General features: G+C 39.8%; 1 protein-coding gene, 1 non-coding gene and 1 pseudogene across 4 annotated transcripts in view; all 3 read left to right on the top strand.

The window, feature by feature from the left end:
• ASTN2 (astrotactin 2) overlaps window positions 1–20,164 on the top strand; it is a 991,946-nt gene that overhangs the window by 227,792 nt on the left and 743,990 nt on the right. The gene's annotated exons all lie outside the window — the stretch shown is intronic.
• On the top strand, window positions 6,065–6,200 carry SNORA70C (small nucleolar RNA, H/ACA box 70C). Its single transcript, NR_003708.4, has one exon. It is a non-coding gene; the product is annotated as a small nucleolar RNA, H/ACA box 70C (small nucleolar RNA).
• Window positions 6,246–6,622, top strand: RPL10P3 (ribosomal protein L10 pseudogene 3; annotated as a pseudogene).

Raw genomic sequence — 20,164 nt, 5'->3', positions numbered from 1 at the left:
CTTCATATAGCACCCTAAGGCCCTCCCTGACCAGCCTGTATAAAATAAAAAATAAAACAATGTACATAATCATACACACATGCACCACACTGTGTTCTCCATTACCTTAATTTTTCTATTTTTTTCTTTCTTTTTCTGAGATGGAGTCTCACTCTGTCTCCCAGGCTGGAGTGCAGTGGCACAATCTCAGCTCACTGTGACCTCTGCCTTGCAGGTCCAAGAGTTTCTCCTGCCTCAGCCTCCTGAGTAGCTGGGATTACAGGCGTGCACCAACACGCCCTGCTAATTTTTGTGTTTTTAGTAGAGATGGGGTTTCACCATGTTGGCCAGGCCAGTCTCAAACTCCTGACTTCATGATCTGCCCTCCTTGGCCTCCCAAAGTGCTAGGATTACAGGCGTGAGCCACTTCGCCCGGCCTTCTTTATAATTTTTGCCACCATTTGACCCATTATAAGTATTATCTGTCCATCTTTAAGAATTGTGTCTGTTTTGTCCCATGCTGTCTGCTTCTTGTTTAGAACATTGCCTGGCACTGTATAGAAAGCAAATAAATAATTGAGGAGTGAATTGATAAAACAAGTGAGTAAATGAATCAATGGAAGACTTACCTAAATGCCTTAATTCAGTTTCTTTCTATTTCAAATGATTGGCTATTTAGTTCAGCTAATGGGATTTATTTTATTTATTTATTTTATTTTATTTTATTTATTTATTTTTTTGAGACAGAGTCTCGCTCTGTTGCCCAGGCTGGAGTGCAGTGGCGTGATTTCGGCTCACAGCAAGCTCTGCCTCCCAGGCCCGCACCATTCTCCTGCTTCAGCCTCCCGAGTAGCTGGGACTACAGGCGCCCGCCACCACACCCGGCTAATTTTTTGTATTTTTTAGTAGAGACGGGTTTTCACCGTGTTAGCCAGGGTGGTCTCGATCTCCTGACCTCGTGATCTGCCCGCCTCAGCCTCCCAAAGTGCTGGGATTACAGGCGTGGGCCACCGCGCCCGGCCAGGATTTATTTTTAGTAGAAATAGGAGTAATATTAGTTACTCTATATGGGCCAAGTTGTGTGACCAGTACTTAATAAATAATTACGCATAAAATTTTCAAAAAATTGATATGGTCATTACTTCTAATCACTCCCTTTTTCAGATGAGGAGACCGAAGCAGAGGAGGCTCTGGTAACTAGCTCAGGGTCATGTACCTGGTTTGTATTAGACCCAGGATTTGAAGCTAGGTCTGTGTGACCTTGAAATTCTCTCTTTTCACCAATAACTCTGCTTCCCGTACTTCCTTTACCTTTCTGTTCCTTGAGGAACACAAGGACAGGTATGATCAGAAACAGTCTCAGGCTTCATGGAGATACACTATTGATTGGATATAACAGCAATTGGCTCATTGATTCTGCCTCAAGTAGCTCTGCTAAATTCATGAATCTTGGCCTCTTTTTCTCTGTTCCTCTTTGGCTCCCACCTGGAAATAACCTCTCTATGCTTCCTAACCTCTGCATGCCCATGGCTTCTACTGCTTCACAGCTTCTGTGCCTAGCCCATCTCCATTCCTTGTGAGACATGCTCTGCCTGCCTCTGACTCTTCTCTCATGCCTTCTTTTCAAGCACTCCATGAAAGAATTTGTCATATCCAATACTGAATGCCCTAGTGAGGAGATCCCCACACCAGGAGACGTCACCATCCATAAGCTAATCTGGAACTATCTGACTCTGTGCAGATATAGAGCTCTGTTCCTATCAGCTTTATCAGGATGGTGGAGTCTTGGGGTACCTAGCAAGCCACACTCTAGGTTATGAAGCATCTGCAGCTCCTTTTTACTAAAGCACGCATCTGTGAATGTGGCAGATCCTCAAACATCATATCCTGTCCAGAATAGTAGGGAGTCCATCTGCCCAGAGCAGGGCTGGTGTGCCTTGCTTCAAAGGAGACTGATTTGTGAAAAGCTCAGCTTAGCAAAGAAATAAATCAGGAAGTGACAGATTATTTTCCTAAATGATTCTTCATTTTACAAAAGCAATTCACCACAGGATTCTTTTCATATATAGCACTAGGAATAAATGTAAAAAAGAAGAGGATTTAAACAACTTTTAGCTTATCAAAATGTTTATAGACACACTAGTCTATAAACCAAAGCCAATCTATAACGTCAGGGCTTTCTGGGATGATGGATAGTAGCAAGATGGGTGTGGAATGGGCAGATGTGGGTATGAATCGTGTGCCCATACAGTGCCTCAATCGTGGACAGAGTAACTAACCTCTTTTAGTCTCGGATTCCTTACCTGTGAAGCTGGCTTTTAATAGTGTTGGACTCTTCTCAGGTTATTTTCAGGATGAAATGCAATAATATATGAACAATCTGGTGTAGAGGCCACCTGACACAAATAGTAATAATCTTGGGAAAGTCATATCTCCTCCCTGAGTCTCAGTCTTCCCATCTGTATCATGAACAGCTTGGACCCTTCCTTGCTGGTCTAAACCTGCATTCTTCAGTGGAACTGTGGGGTGTGGATATACATTAAAATCAGTGGAAGCTGAGTTGGAACTCAGTGCCATATGACTTGCAGGCATGACCAACAGTGTATGTAGGGGGTGAGGTTATTAGAAAAACCAGGAAAAGAGGAAGACATTCTCTCATGCGAACTCTTATCTACTGACAGCTCCTTTTACAGAAATGATGCAAAAGAGATAAAGGGTGTCAGTCACTGTCATTCTGAGATGGCTGAGGCCAGTCTCCAGTCCATGTCAACAGCTTCCTGGCTCCAGGACTGTCCCTGAGAGTGTCCCAAGGAGGTCGGCAGACAGAGATATCACTTCCTCATGATTTCCCTGGTGAATGAAGCCTTCGGAGAACAGATGCATCTACTTCATTATAATTGCGTTAAGTGCTGCCTGATTGGCGCTGTTCATCACCCCAGGAAGCAGCCTCGCCCCATGGACAGACAGTCTGCCTGCTTTGGCTCGGCACAGCTCCAGCTATGTCCTTGGCAGTGTCTGCTTGCTATACCCCCGGCTCTGCTCCAGGGGAGAGGAGGCAGTATGCTACAGAGGGTGGGCAGTCAGGTAGAAATGAGAGAGCCTGGGCTGTGCCTTCAGCGTGTCTGTTGCCTGAGTTGTCCTTCTCAACCCTGGGCCTCAGCCTGTTTATATGTGGGCAGATGGATTGTGAGGTCTCTACACCTTCTTCTGGCTCTTAACCTGTAGCTATCTCAGAAAGGAGGTCAGATGGATATTCCAGGAGGAGAGGGTTCTCCTGAGTGTTAAATTGGCTTGGTTCTGAGGGCTGGGTGTCTCCCTGTAGGACCCCAGAGGAGAAAGCAATTTCTGGACTGTGTCCTCACATTGCAAGAAAATGAGGTTTGCTCCACCCATAAAAGATCCAGAGGGAGGGCAGTAGAGGATATTCTGATATCAGGGCTGCATTTCATAACCCCAGCTCTCTATGCATGGATGTGGGAAAGGGGGATGTAGGTTTTCAGATGTAATAGAGTGAGGCTGGCAAATCAGGAAAGGCTTTGTGGAAGACAAAGTCTTCAACCAAGGTATCTAAGCCTGAACATATCTGAGAGGGAAGGTGAAGGGATGGAACTAATATCTTTCTAGAGAGTAGTGGATAGAAATGTGGACTCTGGGACTAGGCTACCTAGGTCAACTCCTGAAATTTACTGATACTTACTAGCTATGTATAACCTTGGGCAAATTAGTAAATGCTCCCCTTCCTCTCACTGTCCTCGTTTCTAAAATGGAGACAATAAGGATGTGGATACCCGAGTTGTTGTAAGAACAAATGATGTAATTTATGTAAGACTAAATGATTAATACATGTCACAATGCTTAAAGGAGTGCTTATCACAAGAAAAAGGGTCAATTAATGTTAGTTATTATAGTGCATTGTGAGCAAGTCCTCTGCAGATAGATCGGGTGCTTTATATGCTTCTTTATTTAATTCTCTCAACTACTCAGCAATTCATTCATTCATTCATTTACCAAATACTCATTAGGACAGAGCAGTGAAAGTGCTGGCGTGACCCTTTCCCTCAGAGATGCTATCCTCTAATGAGAAAATCAGACTTGAGACTGGAGACTTGAACCAACTTATCACACAATTACTAATTTAATTAACACAAAGCTGCCAGGAAGGAAACATACTGCATGCTCTGGGAGAAGAAAGGGGATACTTGACCTCAATTTGGCTGTTCAAGAAGGCCTTTCTGAGGAAGGAAGATTTAAGCTGGAATTAGAAGGGTATGTAGCGTTCAACCAAATGAACTGAAGAACAGAGAAAGTGATCTTTTTAAAAGTTCTGTTTTATTTTTTAATTGACAAATAATAATTGTCTGTATTTGTGGGGCCCAACGTGATGTTTCAATATGAGGAAGAGTCTCTTGAAATAAAAACTTGGCTTGCTTAATGGCCTAGAAGGCCAATGTGGCTCAAACACAGTGAGGAAGCCTGGGTCAGTTTATTCTAGGACACAGAGATGGGGGCACCGAGACACTGCAAGCTGAAGTGGCTTTTAAGACGTTCTGTAACTGGAACAGAAGGACTGGGATTGCCCTAAGATGAAAGCTTTTCTTCTGCCCCACTATGGCATATACCACCGAAAGTGATTGCTTATACAAGGAACAGAGAACAGCTTAGTCTGAGGTCAGGAATGCTGTAGACAAAAGCAGTGATTAGGAGGTGGTGGGGCAGGCCTTGAGTGCCCGGCTACATTTGGACCTTATCTGTTCTAATTTCCCTAGAGCTATAGGGTGGAACTGGATTAATTTCAAAATAATTCTGTCCATGCTCTAGGGTTTAATATCTCCTGTGTCTCCTGGGTCATCCTTGGTGTGAGAACACTCTGCTCAGATCAGTGGTATATAAAGTGTTTTCAGTTTTTCATTATGCCATGTGTGCATCTGTGGGGTATGTGTTTGTGTGTGTGTGTGTGTGTCTGTGTCTGTGTCGTTTTCTTCCCTGAAGCATGCTGAGTTCACTCAGGGAAATGCCTGGGACTTGGGTGAAATCTTATTATTTTTTTTTTTTTGGAAGGCATGCAGTACAAAATCATTTCTCTCCCTACATAAATATGCATGAGGCTGGCCTGCTCTCTTTTCCTCAGGAAGTGTGGGCAGGGGAGAGAGAGCCCATATGACTGGTATCAGAGCCCTGCCCATGGCTGCTGGCACCCCATTAATCGGGGGGAACAGCAGCCTTGTGAACTGTGAAATTGGCAGCCCCCTGACAGCTTTGGGGCCCAGTTGAGCAGGGACACCATTTCACAGCTGGAAGGTGGCAGCATGGGGTGGGGAAGGAGGGCACTGGGCTCAGTGGGCCAGAGAAGTCATGCTCCCTCTCAGCTTTTGCGAATCCCAAACGAGTCTTGCTGAGAGGACGCCTCTTGCTTAAGGTGAGCAGGAAAGAGAGAGGAAAGAAAGAAAGGGGTAAGGGAAGGAACACAGTGAATGATAACGGCCATTATAACAAACACTGAGTATCTACTGTCTATTGAGATCCAAGTGCTATGCTTTGTACTTGCTATGGATTTCTTTATTTAATACACATGATTTTTCCATATGGTATCATCATTAGCCCTGTGAAACAGACCAGGCAAAACAGGACCTGCTTTAAGCACCAGGAAGTGGTAGAGCTACAATTGGGACCTGGGTCTGACTCCAGAGTCTGTGTTTTTTGCCACTGTGCTATCCTGTTGTCTAGCATGCTATAAAATAAAATAGAAGAGAGTCTTGTATTGTTCACTCGGTGGCCATTTACAAAGTGCACACTCCATGTACAGAATGAAGTCACTGTGCTAAGTGCTAGGTTATAGAGGGATTAATACCTTCAACAAGTTTATGGTTGTGTGTAAGAGAGTTGAGTAAACAGGCAATTTCAGCAGTATGAAATGTATTTGAGACATTTGCCAGAACCCAATCTTAGCTCTGATACTTACCAGCTCTTTGACCTGGGGCAAGTTATTTGACATCTCTGGGCTTCAGTTTCCCCATCTCTGAAATAGTTATGTGAGCATTCTCAGCTTATACATTGCTGTGAAGAATAATTGAAATACTCCAGATCATCTGCAGCCAATTAAGCCAACTGGGTTCCTTTCCTCATGGGGGCCCATTGTGCAATGGCTGCAAACAGCAGCTTTCTTGGTAGTGTATGCAGCCTGTTTGTTGTATGGGTTGCTTTAAGGGACCATGGAAACAGGCCTTTCAGATGTATGTTTATGTTTCTGACCTTGCGCTACCCCAGTGCAGGCTCCAAACAGGCATGCGAGGTGCCTTTGGAAAGCCCCAGGGCACTGTGACCAGGGTTCACATTGGCCAAGTTATCATGTCCATCCACACCAAGCTGCAGAACAAGGAGCATGTAATTGAGGCCCTGCGCAGGGCCAAGTTCAAGTTTCCTGGCCACCAGAAGATCCGCATCTCAAAGAAGTGGGGCTTCACCAAGTTCAATGTTGATGAATTTGAAGACATGGTGGCTGAGAAGCAGCTCATCCCTGATGGCTGTGGGGTCAAGTACATCCCCAGTCGTGGCCCTCTGGACAAGTGGCGGGCCCTGCACTCATGAGGGCTTCCACTGTGCTGCCCCCTCTTAATACTCACCAATAAATTCTACTTCCTGTCCAAAAAAAAAAAAAAAAAGATACTCCAGATCAGTTGTTTAGAATGGTGCTCGGTGCATAGTAAGCAGTCAATAAATGATTGCTGTGAGTGTGCTGAAATATGGATATGAACAAATATTCCAGGATCACAGAGGAAATGGCATTCAAATGTGCTGACGATGTGGATGAGAACTTCCCTCAAGAGGAGACATTTGAGCTGAATTTGAAGATAAGCTCATCAGTGAACCCAGGGGCAAGGGAAAGGGGATGTGTAAAGGTCCCAAGGCAACAGGGAGAGAACATTGTAGGAACTGTGAGAAGTTTCAAGTGGCTGGCAACAAAGGAACATGAACAGAAAGAGCAGACTGTAGAGGAAGAGATGGGTCAGATCACCAGGGTCCTGGGACTTTATCTGGGAGGCCCCAGGGAGCCACTGAAAACTTTTAACTGAGAAGTGTCATGCCCAGATAGTCTTCCTCCCAGAAAGATCATTTAACATGGTGGCACAAACTTAGATCAGAAAAAAGGCAGAGAGATCAAGAATGGAAGACTACTCTGTGAATCAAAAGAGAGATGCAGAGCTAGCATGCTCCAAGAGATGATACAGCACTGATCTGGAAATGGGCCTCCCTGCATTTTATTCAAAGCTTTGCTGCAGATCTGCCATTTGAATTGGATGCCCTTAGATGGACCTCAGTTTTCCCATCTATCAAATGAGAACCAATGATCTCAGAAGCATCATCCATCACCTACATCCTACATCCTTGAATAGGGAGGGTAATGTCTGAGGTAAGGAAATGGCAAAACCAGGGGATTGGGGGTAAAGTAAGTCCCTAAACACCAACTTTCAGCAGCCTGAAATGACAGATCTGCAGTGGGGTCTGAATGACAGATCTGCAGTGGGGTCTTTCAGAATCAGGCAGAAAGGCCCTGCCTGTGCCTTTAGGCCCAGCAGTCCTGGAGTACAGCAAGCATAGGAGAGAAACAAGCATAGGAGGGAAGCCCTCATGTCGTTACATTACACTTTTATTTATCAAAGGTAAGAGAAGAGATGGGGGCAAGGAAGAGGTGCAAGAAGGAGAAGCAACCAAGAAGAGGAAGAAGAGAGACTTCCTTTTAGGAGCCAGAAGAATATTGCTAATCCCTTCCCTAGTGTTACAAATGATGGGGTCTCCTATTAGGATGGTGTCATCCTAAGTAATCCATTTTACCTCTTGGAGACTGGTTCACCATGTGGGAGATGGAAACGGCAACAAGCTGGGTTACTTATCTCAAGATGACTATATATAGAAGATATGTGGATATATATACATACACACACACACATATATATCCCCACATAAGCATATATATGTGAAAATATGTATATATCAGCATATCATTATATATATTTATATACATGTATGCATACATACATATGCTGTGTACATATATAGTCTTGTCCTTCCCAAAGTAGAAAGAAAGCTCTGGTGGTTGGAATTCTAAGTCTGTTCACACATACTCTGTAATCAGCACATGGGATATTTCCTGGCACATAGTAAGCCTTCAATACATATTGGCTGAATACATAAATAAAAGAAATGAGCTAATGGTGTGTCATATAGACTGTTAAGGATTGTGTGCACGTACGTTATCTCTGTTACTACTCTCAGGGAATATCCGCTTCATCTACTATGTTTACAAAAGAATAAAGGAAGAAAGGAGAAGGAAAAACAGGCTATGAGAGGGCTGGAGGGAGCTCAGTTGGAATCCTGAGTCAGCAGCCTCCCACAGAGCCATCACTGTCTGTGGTGGTGGGCCCAGGAACACCCTGGCTGCAGCCATGTGTGTCTAATAACTTAATTAGGGCTGGTGCCGCTCTATGCAGCCCAGCTGGGCCCAGCCTTCTCCCCTGCAGATGATGTTTTGCCAGCCCTTGGCACTTTGATTTCCCTGCCTGCGTCTTCTCTGTGCCCTTGCTAATTGGATCTGAGTGGTGAGGATTCTATGCCAGGATAGGCAGGCCAGAATTCCACACTTTTCCTGCCAGCAGAGATCCTAGAACTTTGCCCCCTCTGATTTTGTCCCTCTGAGCGCTTATCCATTGTCCTTTCATTGCCTGCCCTGGAGCAGTTAGTGAGGGATGTTGGGGAATTTGCTGCTGATTTTTGTCTATGCTGGCCTCTCCTGTTGGACATATATCTCTGGTCCTTAAGTGCTTGAGGGTGAAACCAATCTACTTCAAAACTGGGCACACAGATCTGTCCAAAACAGTATCCAAAAGTTATCATCACAAAAACCAACTCACTTCCCTACCCATCTCCTTTCCTTCTGTTCACTGACACTCATTGAGTGTCTGTTCTCTGCTGGGTGCCTTTCAGGTAGCAGGGACACAGCAGTGCTCAAAATAGACCAGTACTTGTCCTTGTGGAGCTTTCATTCTAGTGGAGAGCATGGACATTTGTTACATGAATGCATTCATAAAAACATTCATGAAGGATGGAGATAAGGGTCAAGATGGAGTAGAGAGAATAAAGAATGAAAGGGATGAAGCACTGCTAAGTCAGAGAGATTATCAGAGAACAAGAGAGTATTTGAAATAAGGCAAGGCTTTGAGATAGATTCCAACAACAAGGGACAATAGGATGGAGTGGGTAAGAAAAGGTGAGAATTATAGATGGTGAGATTGGAGACCTAAGACAGGGCCCGATCACACGGGGCCTTGGAGTTGATGGTAAAGAGCTGGGATTCTCCTCTAAGTGTGAAGCCCTTGTAGAGTGTGGAACAAATGAGGCACAGGATGGACAAGTTCAGATTTATTCCTGAAGGGGCCCCACCTACCACTAAAGGAAGCATGGAGGATTAGAGGCCACACATGGAAGCTGAGAGAACAGGTCGCAGGTTGCTGCATATAACAATAACAAAAATGATGACTCTAATCACAACTAGTAGTTCTTGTGCACTCCTACTATGTTAATTATATTAGCAATCCTCCCAAATTAAGGATGCCCCATGGTGAACAGGTAGATACATAGATCAATGACTGAGAAGATGCAATTTGCTCACTCCTTTCTAGAGTAGGATTTTTAAAATGTGGGGCCCATGTTTGAGTTTTACACTGAAAATATTTGCAAAACATTGGGTACCTTTAGTTTCTGAGGGAGGGAATCTATAGCTTTGGTCACACAATTCTAAGGTCCCAGACACACCTGGACCATCTTACTTGGAGATGATGAAACTATTTCTGTGAAGCTGACTTTGCCTTGATGACATTAACACCGGGCGGTGGAGAGAATGCATTCTGTTCCAGGTTTCTCCACTTCACAGCTGTAGGACTGAGTCAAGTTATTTAACTGATTTGTCCCTCAGCTTCCTTATGCATAAAATGGTGATAATAATAAAACAAGGCTAGCTGTAAGTATTAAGTTAGTTACAGAGCATAAACTGTTTAGACACTCCTTGGCCTATACAGGTACTGTTTTTATCATTAGACCTCATTGTAGTTCACTCTAATTTCATAGAGGGTCTGGGTGAGGCTGTTACTTAATAACTCACACAGGTTATGAAATAGGAACATTGTCCTCAAAAACCAGAATCAGGATTACTGTTCTTTGGCCAGATGGTTATTTTAAACTTTTTAGACATCTGAATACTATAACAAGTTTTCCATGTTTGTACTGTCTGCTAGAATGCTCAGAGTCTAATTTGAAACAGAAACTCTAGGAAATATACCAGACATTGTATGTATTAATTCTTTATTTTTTAGAGACAAGGTCTTATTCTGTCACCCAGGCTAGAGTGCAGTGGTGTGATCATAGCTCACTGCAACTCATAGGCTCAAGCAATCTCCTACCTCAGTCTCTCAAGTAGCTGGGACTACAGGAGTACACCATCATGCCTAGCTAATTAAAACAATTTTTTGGAGATGAAGTCTTGCTATGCTACTTAGGCTGGTCTTGAACTCCTGGCCTTGAGCAAGCCTCCCACCTCAGCCTCCCAAGTTGTGGGGTTTAGAGGTGTAAGCCACTGTACCTGGCACTGTAAGTTAAATTTTAGCGCTGATCTTTCCCTTGGCTTCATCTTTACATCCTCATATCTATCTTTTTTTTTCTTCAATTAAATCTTTTCTAAAATACTCCTAAAATGTACTTTATTTTTAGTTACAAATTACTTTTATCATGCAATAAAGTAAATATAATTACATATATTCTAACCACCCAAATGAGAATACAAATATTTTGTGGTATACATCGGATTTTTTTACATTTAAAATGTTAAATTACACATAGCTAATCAACTTCACTGATTCTGTTTCTTACTACACAAAGGTTGATATTTCTAACCTATTTGGATAGTTATACTTTTACTTTATATATGGTATCATAATCTTATCTAAGATTGTCCTGTGTCCTGTGCTTTTAAATTTTTTATCTTACCACACTCCACCAGCAATGAATAAAATCTCTCATTTTCCCAAATTCTCGACAACCCTTATTATATTTTGCCATTCTGTAAGATATGAAATTATAACTTCAATGATTATTTAATTTGCATGTCAAAGATAATAATGAGGTTAAACATTTTTCCTTATATTAAATTTTCTTTCTTTTTCAATCCTGATTATATCTTTTGCATATTTTTATGATGGTTTTTTTTTTACCTGATTAGTAAATGTTCCTTATAAATATTGATAATAATCATATTTAAAAACATAAGTAGGCCTTTGTCATGTGAAAATATCTTCTTCCAATCTATGACTTATGTTTTAGTTTTGTTAAGAAAATCATTTCCTAATTTTGAATATTTTCATTTTAATTCTACAATGTTTTTTTCATTTGTAGTTTATACTTTTTGTGAATAACTGAGGAATTTAGAATTTTTTACTATCCTAGTGTCTTAGTTATGCACCTATAATTTCTTCTAAATTTTTAAGATTTTGCTTGTAAACATTTCAGTCTTTAACCATGGACTTTGTTTGCTTTAGTTTTTCACATGGATAGCTAATTGTCCTAGTTCACTATCTGGAGTCCATTCTTACTCCATGGATTTATGACACCACTGTCATAGGACAAGTCCTCGTGTATCTGGAGGTCAGTTTCTGAGCTCTCCTGTTCTAGTACCATGCTACTTTTAGTTATTATGGTTTTGTAATATCTTGGTATCAGAAAGGGCAGGACTCCCTCATTCATTTTCTTCTGTAAATGTCTTAGCTATTTTTCTCTCATTACTCTTCTGTGTGAATTTTAAGATAAAGTCTTATTTATGAAAAGGCTTGCTGTCACTGGGATTGGGATTACATTCAATTTACAGACTCACTTGCAAAATTCACAAAACTTAGACTTCTCATCCATGAAATAATATATTTCTTTATTTGAGCCTTCTTGTATGGCTATGAATAGAGTTAAACATCTAAACATTTTATCTATACATATATCACAGACTTTTAGTTGTATCTAATTTCTACCAGCATCACTATTTCTGCAACTGTTGCAAATTGTATCTTTTCACTTGTATTACATTTATTAATTGTTCCTTTCTTGTGTATAAGAACATCAGTTTTTCTTTGATTGAAGCCAGAAGATGTGATTATTTTATTACTTTTAGCCTCTAGATTTTTTTTAAATTTTCATGTGGAAAAAATGACATAATTTGCCATTAATAGTCTTGCGAATCTTTGTATCTTGTATTTGAATTATCTTGTTCTAATGCTCTTCCAGACTGGGCCTCCCATTCAGTGTTGAAGAAAAATGATGGCAGAGCATGCCATTTTCTTGTACTTTACTTTAAAGAAAATAAAACTAAAGCTCTATCACTATATGTCATAATATATCATAATGATAGAGTGTTAGGTTTTTGTTAGATAACCAAATAGTAAATGTTAGTAAACTTTTGACAGCAAATTTTCCTTCTATTCCTAATATACTAATCATTTTTCAAGCCGTGATTGGATATTACAATTTATTAAATACTCTTTCAGCATCAAGTGAGGTGATGTCTTCTCTTTTAACCTGATTGTGTAGTGTATTACTGTCGTTTCTATTAGTAAACTATCCTTACGTTTTTTAACATCTTTGTTAAGTTCCAATATCAACATTATCCTAGCTTCATAAAACATGAGGTTTACACAGCCTTCCTTCTTGTGCTGTCATGCTATTGTGTATAAATATTTGTATATGTAATTATTATGTGAAGTGGGTATATCTCATAAAGTTTGCTAGAATTTATGCTTAAGTCTATTTGTTTGATGTTTGTCTATTTGTTAGATGGTAATTTCTGACTATTGGTTCAAATATTTATATGGCTATTTTAGTTGTCTGTTTCTTCTTAACTCTGTTTTAGTATTTGTTATTTTCCTGAGACTCACTTATTTTTTCTAAGTTGTCTCATTTATAGACATATTGTCTTGTGTTGTTTAATATTATTTGTTAAATATTTAGCAGATAGTATTATATATGCATGTGTGTTTGTATACCTGTGATAAATAAGTATGTGTATTCATGGTTGTGTGTCTATCTAATCTATCTATCTATCTATCTATCTATCTATCTATCTATCTATCTATCTAGTTAGCTAGCTAGCTATACATATCCCAAGTCTCTACCACATCTATAATTCTGTCCTCATTTTAATTCCAGAGATTTTGTTTTTATGCCTTGTCTGTCAATCTTGTTGGTGTTATATTATATCTATTTTATTAGTGTTTTTTTTGTTCTTGGTTTTGGTTTCTGTTTTTTAGTAAGAGTAAAGGAGAGAGAGCAAGACGTAGTGATAAAAGGTTTAAAAAAACTTTGCTCATGATTTGTTGATATTCTATATTATTTCTCTTCTATATCATTAATTTTTATCATATTTTCTTTATTCTACATTCTTTATTATTATTGCCATTCTTTTTTAACTTCTTAAATGCCTAGATGATTATTTTTCAATCTTTCTTTTTAACAATATTTGCATCAAATGGTATAACTTTCTCTGAAGTGTTTCTTTATCTCTAGACCTCAAGTTTTGCTATGTAGCGTGCATGTTGTTTAATTCTATTTTTTTATTATTTTGTTTATTATTTGGACATTTTTATTTACATTTCCAGGCATATGTTTAGAAAACTTTTTGTTATTAACACTAATTTTACTGTATTTTATTAAATAATATGTTCTGGGTACTATTAAATTCTTGGCTATTTGTTAGGTTTACTTTGTACCCTGGAGCATGGCTACTTTTTATAAATAGTTTCTGTGTGTTTGAGAAACACTGTACATTTTCTAATTAATGGACAAAACATTTCATGTGTAACCATTAGATACTACCTGTTACTTTTATTGACCAAATTTCTATATCTAATTTTTTGCCTGCTTGATTTTTTTGTAGTTACGGTTGCTTTTAAGACAGATGTGCAAAAATCTTTCATTCAAACTCAAGATTGGTGAATTTCATTTGTTTCTAACAGGTTTTGCTTTCTTGTTTTGGGGCCAGATTGCTAAGTGAATGAAGTTTTGGATTGCTGTGGTTTTATTTATTTTTTTGTAAGTAATTGGTGTTTTACAATTAAGTAATAAGAATCTTTATTGCCATACATGCTGTTTGCCTTTATGCTAGTTAGTATTTTTCCTGTATGTCTTCTTTTATCCCTTTCCTTATTTTATAAATGAGAAAATCTAAGTCTAGAAGAACAAGAAGCCTAGGTAGTTCCAGTAGGAAGCAGGAGTCAAATCTAGAGCATAGGTAACTGCGAATGCTTAGTTGAGTCTGATTTCACACAATTTGGCCCATGGTCAAGTTACTTCAGGTAAGGGACCCAAGGGGTGGCCAAAGTGTGGGATGAGCAAAGATTCCTAATGAAAGCTCCATGGAAACCAGAACTTTCCCTTTTGTCCAGTGTTTTCTTTTAAGCATCTAAAACAGCATCTGGCACTCAAACAGTATGCCCTTGATGAATGAATTGTTGAATGAAATCATCTCAGCAGGTTATTTTACACTGCCTTTTTCCCATTCGTGAGAGAAAACTTGGATAGAAATGTTACCCACTCTGGGATTCACAAGCCACGTGACCATTCCCAGATCACATCCACCTCTCTGAGCCACAGCTGAACCAGTTCACAAATGGGGACAATGGGGACTTTCCTCTCTATATTACCTCAAGTGTGTGAGGAATGTATGAGGTGATGCATGTAGATTAATAGTCATAGCTAATTTTTAAAAGGTAACACTCAATAAAGTATATGCAGTGCATATAAATTGCACTAGACTTAAATGTATTCTTGGTTTTCTTTATGTATGCCTATACTCAAGTAACCACCACCCAGACCAACATATAGATCTGTGCCTCCCGATACAGTGGCCTTTGAAATTAAAATTAATGAAAATTAATTAAACTTAAAAGTCCAGTTCTTTGGTCAAACAAGCCACATTCTAAGGACCCGGTGGCAGCATATGCCTATTCTACAGTACCTACTGTATCACACAACATAGAATATGAACAATGTCATTGTAACAGAAAGTTCTGCTGGGCAGCCTTATGATAGAATAATTCTAGCACCCCTTATGTTTCATTTTTTTGTACCTTCCTAGACCATGTCCACCCATAAAAAGTAAACAGTACTCTGGCTTCTTAGATCATAAATTGATATTTCCTGTGCTTCATAGATATGCGATCCTACAGATGCGTTATTTTGTGTCTGCCTTCTTTTCACTCAAAACATCATGTTTGAGATTCATCCATGTTGTTGCAAGTATTGATAATTTTTTTTAATTACGATATAGTGTCCCCTTATATGAATTTACTAAAATGTATATAGTCATTCTTTTAAACACTAATGTTTAGATAGTGTATTAGTTCATTTTCACACTGCTATAAAAAGTGCCCAAGGCTCGGTAATTTATAAAGGAAAGAGGTTTAATTGAGTCACAGTTCCACATGGCTGGGGAGGCCTCAGGAAACTTAAACTTACAATTATGGCCGAAGGTGAAGAAGGAGCAAGCACCTTCTTCACAAGGCAGTAGGAGAGAGAAGAAGGAGCAAAGGGGGAAGAGCCCCTTGTAAAACCATCAGATCTCATGAGATCTCACTCACTATCACGAGAACAGCATGGGGGAAACCGATCCCATGATCCAGTCACTTCCCACCAGGTCCCTCCATTGACACATGGGGATTATGATTCAATATGAGATTTGGGTGGGGACACAGCCAAACCATATCAAATAGATTACTCCATACCAGGTACTAGGTTAGACATTTACTCAAATAACTCATTTTACATTAACACCAGTGCTTTGAGAAAAGTACTGTTATTAGTTTCATTTTATAGATTCATCCACAGAGAGGTTAAACAACCCTTCTGCAGTCACACAGCTAGGCCAGGAACCCATGCAGGCAGGGCTTTCTCTGGAGCCTTTACTCTTTGGACATGACACTAACCCTGTACCTGTACTCTGTGAGGCATTGCATACCTGCAAATGTTTCAGTTAGTTGGGCAAAGGAGAATATTTCTATTCTGTGCTTCCTCGTAATATTTTTTCTTTTCTTTTCTTTTTTTCTTTTGCCTTTGTTTGTTTCTAGTTTTATTTAAATTCCTCCTGCAAAGTGCTAGCATCCTGAGAAGTTAGTCCAAATTCTATGGGATGTCGCTGAGAGCTCTCATCCTTGGAGAGCTCAGGATCTCAGGATGGCATGGTTGGTGGTAATGATGCGGTTCCCAGCAACTTTGAGCCCAGCCTAGAACCATGCTGCCCTGTCACATAAAGAAGGGGCAGAACACATCTAGGCATCTGTCTCTTGGTACATGTATTTGTGGAACCTAATGTGGACAATGGATACGATACCTGGCAAGGTATGGCTTGCTTATATTAGTATGTGGGAAAAGCAGAGTTGTTTTGCAAAATCAAATCACTCTGCTCCCTGCCTCTTTTCTGAAGACTAAAATGAGAAATGGGATACGGCCAAGCCTGCTTCTGCCTCAAGGTGTTTCATCTGCTGTCTTCTCTGTTGGAACACTCTTCTCTTAAATACCTACCTGGCTGCTTGTGACCTCTTCAGTCTCTGCATACATGTTACTTTCCCCATAAGGTCTCCCCAGGCCTTCTCATTTTAAATAGCACTCACTCCAGCAATTCATGCTTCTTTTTCCTGCCTGATCTTTCTCTTTAGTGTTTAGCATCATCTGACAAAGCTTATATTTTACTTATTGATGCAGTTATTGCTCTCTGCCCCATTAGAAAGCATGCTTCATGCAGGTAGAAATTTTGTCTTCCTTCTTCATTGAATCCCTAGTGCCTTCATCAGTGTTGTCACCTAGCAGGTGCTCAATCAATATTAATGGATGAATACATTAATTAATAGATAAGTTCTGAAGAAGATTGCAACTGAGGTCATATAAGGATGAGACACACAATGGGAAACAGAGGATGTCAATGATATACAAGCACATTGTATTTGGAGTGGCTGGAAGGTGGATGCAATTGAAATTGAATTAAGACTCTCAAGCAAAGGAAAGGAAGTATGAGATTTATTTAGTGCCTACTATGTGCCAAACTGAATCTTATTACTATTAAATACTTGCTATTTAATGATTATATGCAGTGTGTCTAGCAGTTCACATGAATTTTCATATTTAGTCCTCACAATGACCTTCCCCAAGAGGTATAACCACACCTGTGTCATGAAGAGATGACCATGCTCATGATCACAGAGGTAGGATGTGCTGGAACAGGGATTCAAACCCAAGATAGCCAGATCCCAGAGCTGCTCTCCTTCCAAGACCAGGATGCCTCCTAAGAGGAAGTACTCTGTTATGCCGTTCCCAAAGCACTTTGTTCAGAGGCACTTTCTCTTAGAGTTTGGTGTTTACATATCTCCTCCTTGCTTTTGTTGGGAACTCCCTCCCTTCACTGGGATATAAATTAAAAGCTGTCTCTAATTCATCATGGAAACCTTCCCTCCCCACACCAGCCCCCTGCCCCACCCCACCATGTCTGACGTAGCCTCCAAGCTGCACATAGTAGGCGCCCACAGAATGTTCGTTAACATGAGTTTTGCCAAAGATTGACTCTGTTTGAAAGCGTGTGTTGGCAATTCTCTGCCCTTTTTTCTAGTGGCTTCCTTCTGCCGCATCATCCTGTCATTGTTTGGGGGAACAGAATGGGCTGTTTTATCTGGTCTGTGTTTTAATAATTAATACCCTCTGTTTGGAAGTGAAGTTTATCCAAGAACAATCATAAGCAAATGAAAGCTAAGCTGTGCAATTGTGGCAGGAAAGGGAAAAGCAGAGAGTCACTATAAATAAACCCCAAGCCCACGTGCCTCTTCCTTTCTTTTTTCTTTTCGGATTCACACACAACTATAAATGTTTGATAAAGCGTTTTACTTATTTATAAATCCTGTCACAGCAAACAGAGGCATTTGGACTGAGTTCCTCTCCCCACAGCAAATAGCTACATTTGGAAGACAGAAAGACCCCCTGGGTGGAAAATGAATGAGATTTTTTTTTTTTCTTTTTCTTCTTCCTTTTTATTTTCCCTCAGGCAAGAGAGATTTAGCTATGCTCTAATTCCCCCATTAGCAACCTCTATTTATAATCACTACAGTTTATTGAACACCTAGTCTGTGCCATGATTTCTGCGTAGTGATTTCTTATAGTATTACCTTAATTGTCTCAGTTTTTCAGGTAAGCGCTATTATCCCCATGTTACAGCTGAGGATATTGAGGCTCAGAGGAGATGTGTATTGTCCAAGATTGCCCCTGCAATTAACAGATAGAGGCAAAACTGAAAAATAGGCTTGTCATTCTTTAAACATTGTTTTTCGCACTACAAGTTAGGTTCAATTTATAAGTCTTAGCCAGCATTTAAAATCATGAAAAAAACAAACTGCAATAACATTAAATAGAGAACAATATAGCAGGAGAGAATAGGAAATATTACTGCTTCATGCAACTTTTGTTCAGTTGGCTAGAAATATTAAATGCGTATTTTTTACTATGAGTTATAATCTGACAAGTTAGAAAAGAACTGCTGTAATGACTGAAGGCTTTATACTAAACCTGAAATTTCTAACATGAGGTCCCTGGATTGATTACAGGGCATATGTGTCTGGAAATCGGTGAGGATTATAGGCATTGTTCTACACTAAGCAGTTTTCTAAAAAAATAAAGGCTCTGGTTTTCATTAGGATCTCAAGGGTACAGAACTCTCACCTCCAAATATAAGTTAAAAACTCCCATACTTCATCAACGCTCTGGCTTTCATTAGGATCTCAGGGTACAGAACCCTCACCTCCAAATGTAAGTTAAAAACTCTCATACTTCATCAAAGGTGTGTGACCGTAGGTCATCACAGGATCCATGTCCTTGTGGAAGTGAAGACACTGATAAAGTACATTTTATTCCCATTAATTTAACATGCACAGCATTTTCAGGTTGTGAAGCATTCACACACTCATAATTTTCTTGGTTCTTCCCATATCTTCGTAGTTCCTCTCATCATTCTCTTAGCTCATCCATCATCCTTAGAGCTCTCCCTCCTATTGTTTTAGCTCCTCCCACCAGCTTCTTAGTTCCTCCCACTATCCTCTTATCTCCTCCAGGCAACTCTGCAATGGAGAAAGAAGGATTGTAACCTCCATTTTAGAGGTGAAAAAAACTGAGTCTCAAAGAAGCTGACTTGGTTAGTGGCCTCTGTAAATGGTCTCTACCCCATCATACTGCCCACTGCCCTGGGTTTCTTTCTCTTCAAAGCCACCTTGATAACCTCTCTAAAATTTAGATCAGTTCTTATCACCTCCATGGCTATAAAACATTGCTCTTAGGCTAAAAGTCAAGCCATATGTTACCTTGGATATTCTTTACTCAGGAAAACGTTTGCTGACATCCCAGATAACATCAGATTTACCTGTAACATGTTCACAGAGAGTCCAGTGCAGTGCATGGCATTCATGAAATTACTTGATGTCTCTCTCTACTTCTGTAACATAAGTTCTTGAGATTAGAGTCAATGTCTTCCTTGTTCAGAGCCTGGTTTATCATAGATGCTTGATAATGTACTAAATAGATATTTTTTTTCCCTGATTCAGTTGGTTTTGTCCATCACATTCAGGTTCAAAAGAGAAAATGATGTTTTCAGCCAATATTTCCAACTCCCAGAAAGTTATTTCATGTTTTATGAGTTCATGCACCCACAGTATTTTGAGCGTTTGTTGTATTCTGATTTTGCTCATTTCCTTAGTGTGGCATTGTGTTTAGGAAGGGTGGTTAAAATGAAGAGAGAAGAAGATAATGGTTTTAGGAAATGTATTCAAATCATCTCAAAATCTCCTGACCACTAAAAAGTAATGTTTTAATGATTTAACTGTAGATGACTCAGAATTATATGGATTTCACTTTTCTTTGAAGTCACAAAAATTTAGCAATTAAGGAAATGTTTTGAAAAAAAAGGTTTTGGTGTGATCAACATTGGATGATAGGTAGATAGATAGATAAACTGATGACAGATGACAGAGATAGAGCATTATAGACAAATCAATATAGATCGTGTGTTTCGCTCGAAGTATTTTGAGGTTTTTTTCAGATCCCATTGATGGTATTTTTCCTAATCTTACCTATC

This window comes from Homo sapiens, chromosome 9 (genome assembly GCF_000001405.40).
Source record: "Homo sapiens chromosome 9, GRCh38.p14 Primary Assembly".
In the NCBI taxonomy this organism is placed as follows: Eukaryota; Metazoa; Chordata; class Mammalia; order Primates; family Hominidae; genus Homo; species Homo sapiens.
This window is presented reverse-complemented; position numbering and strand designations above follow the sequence as displayed.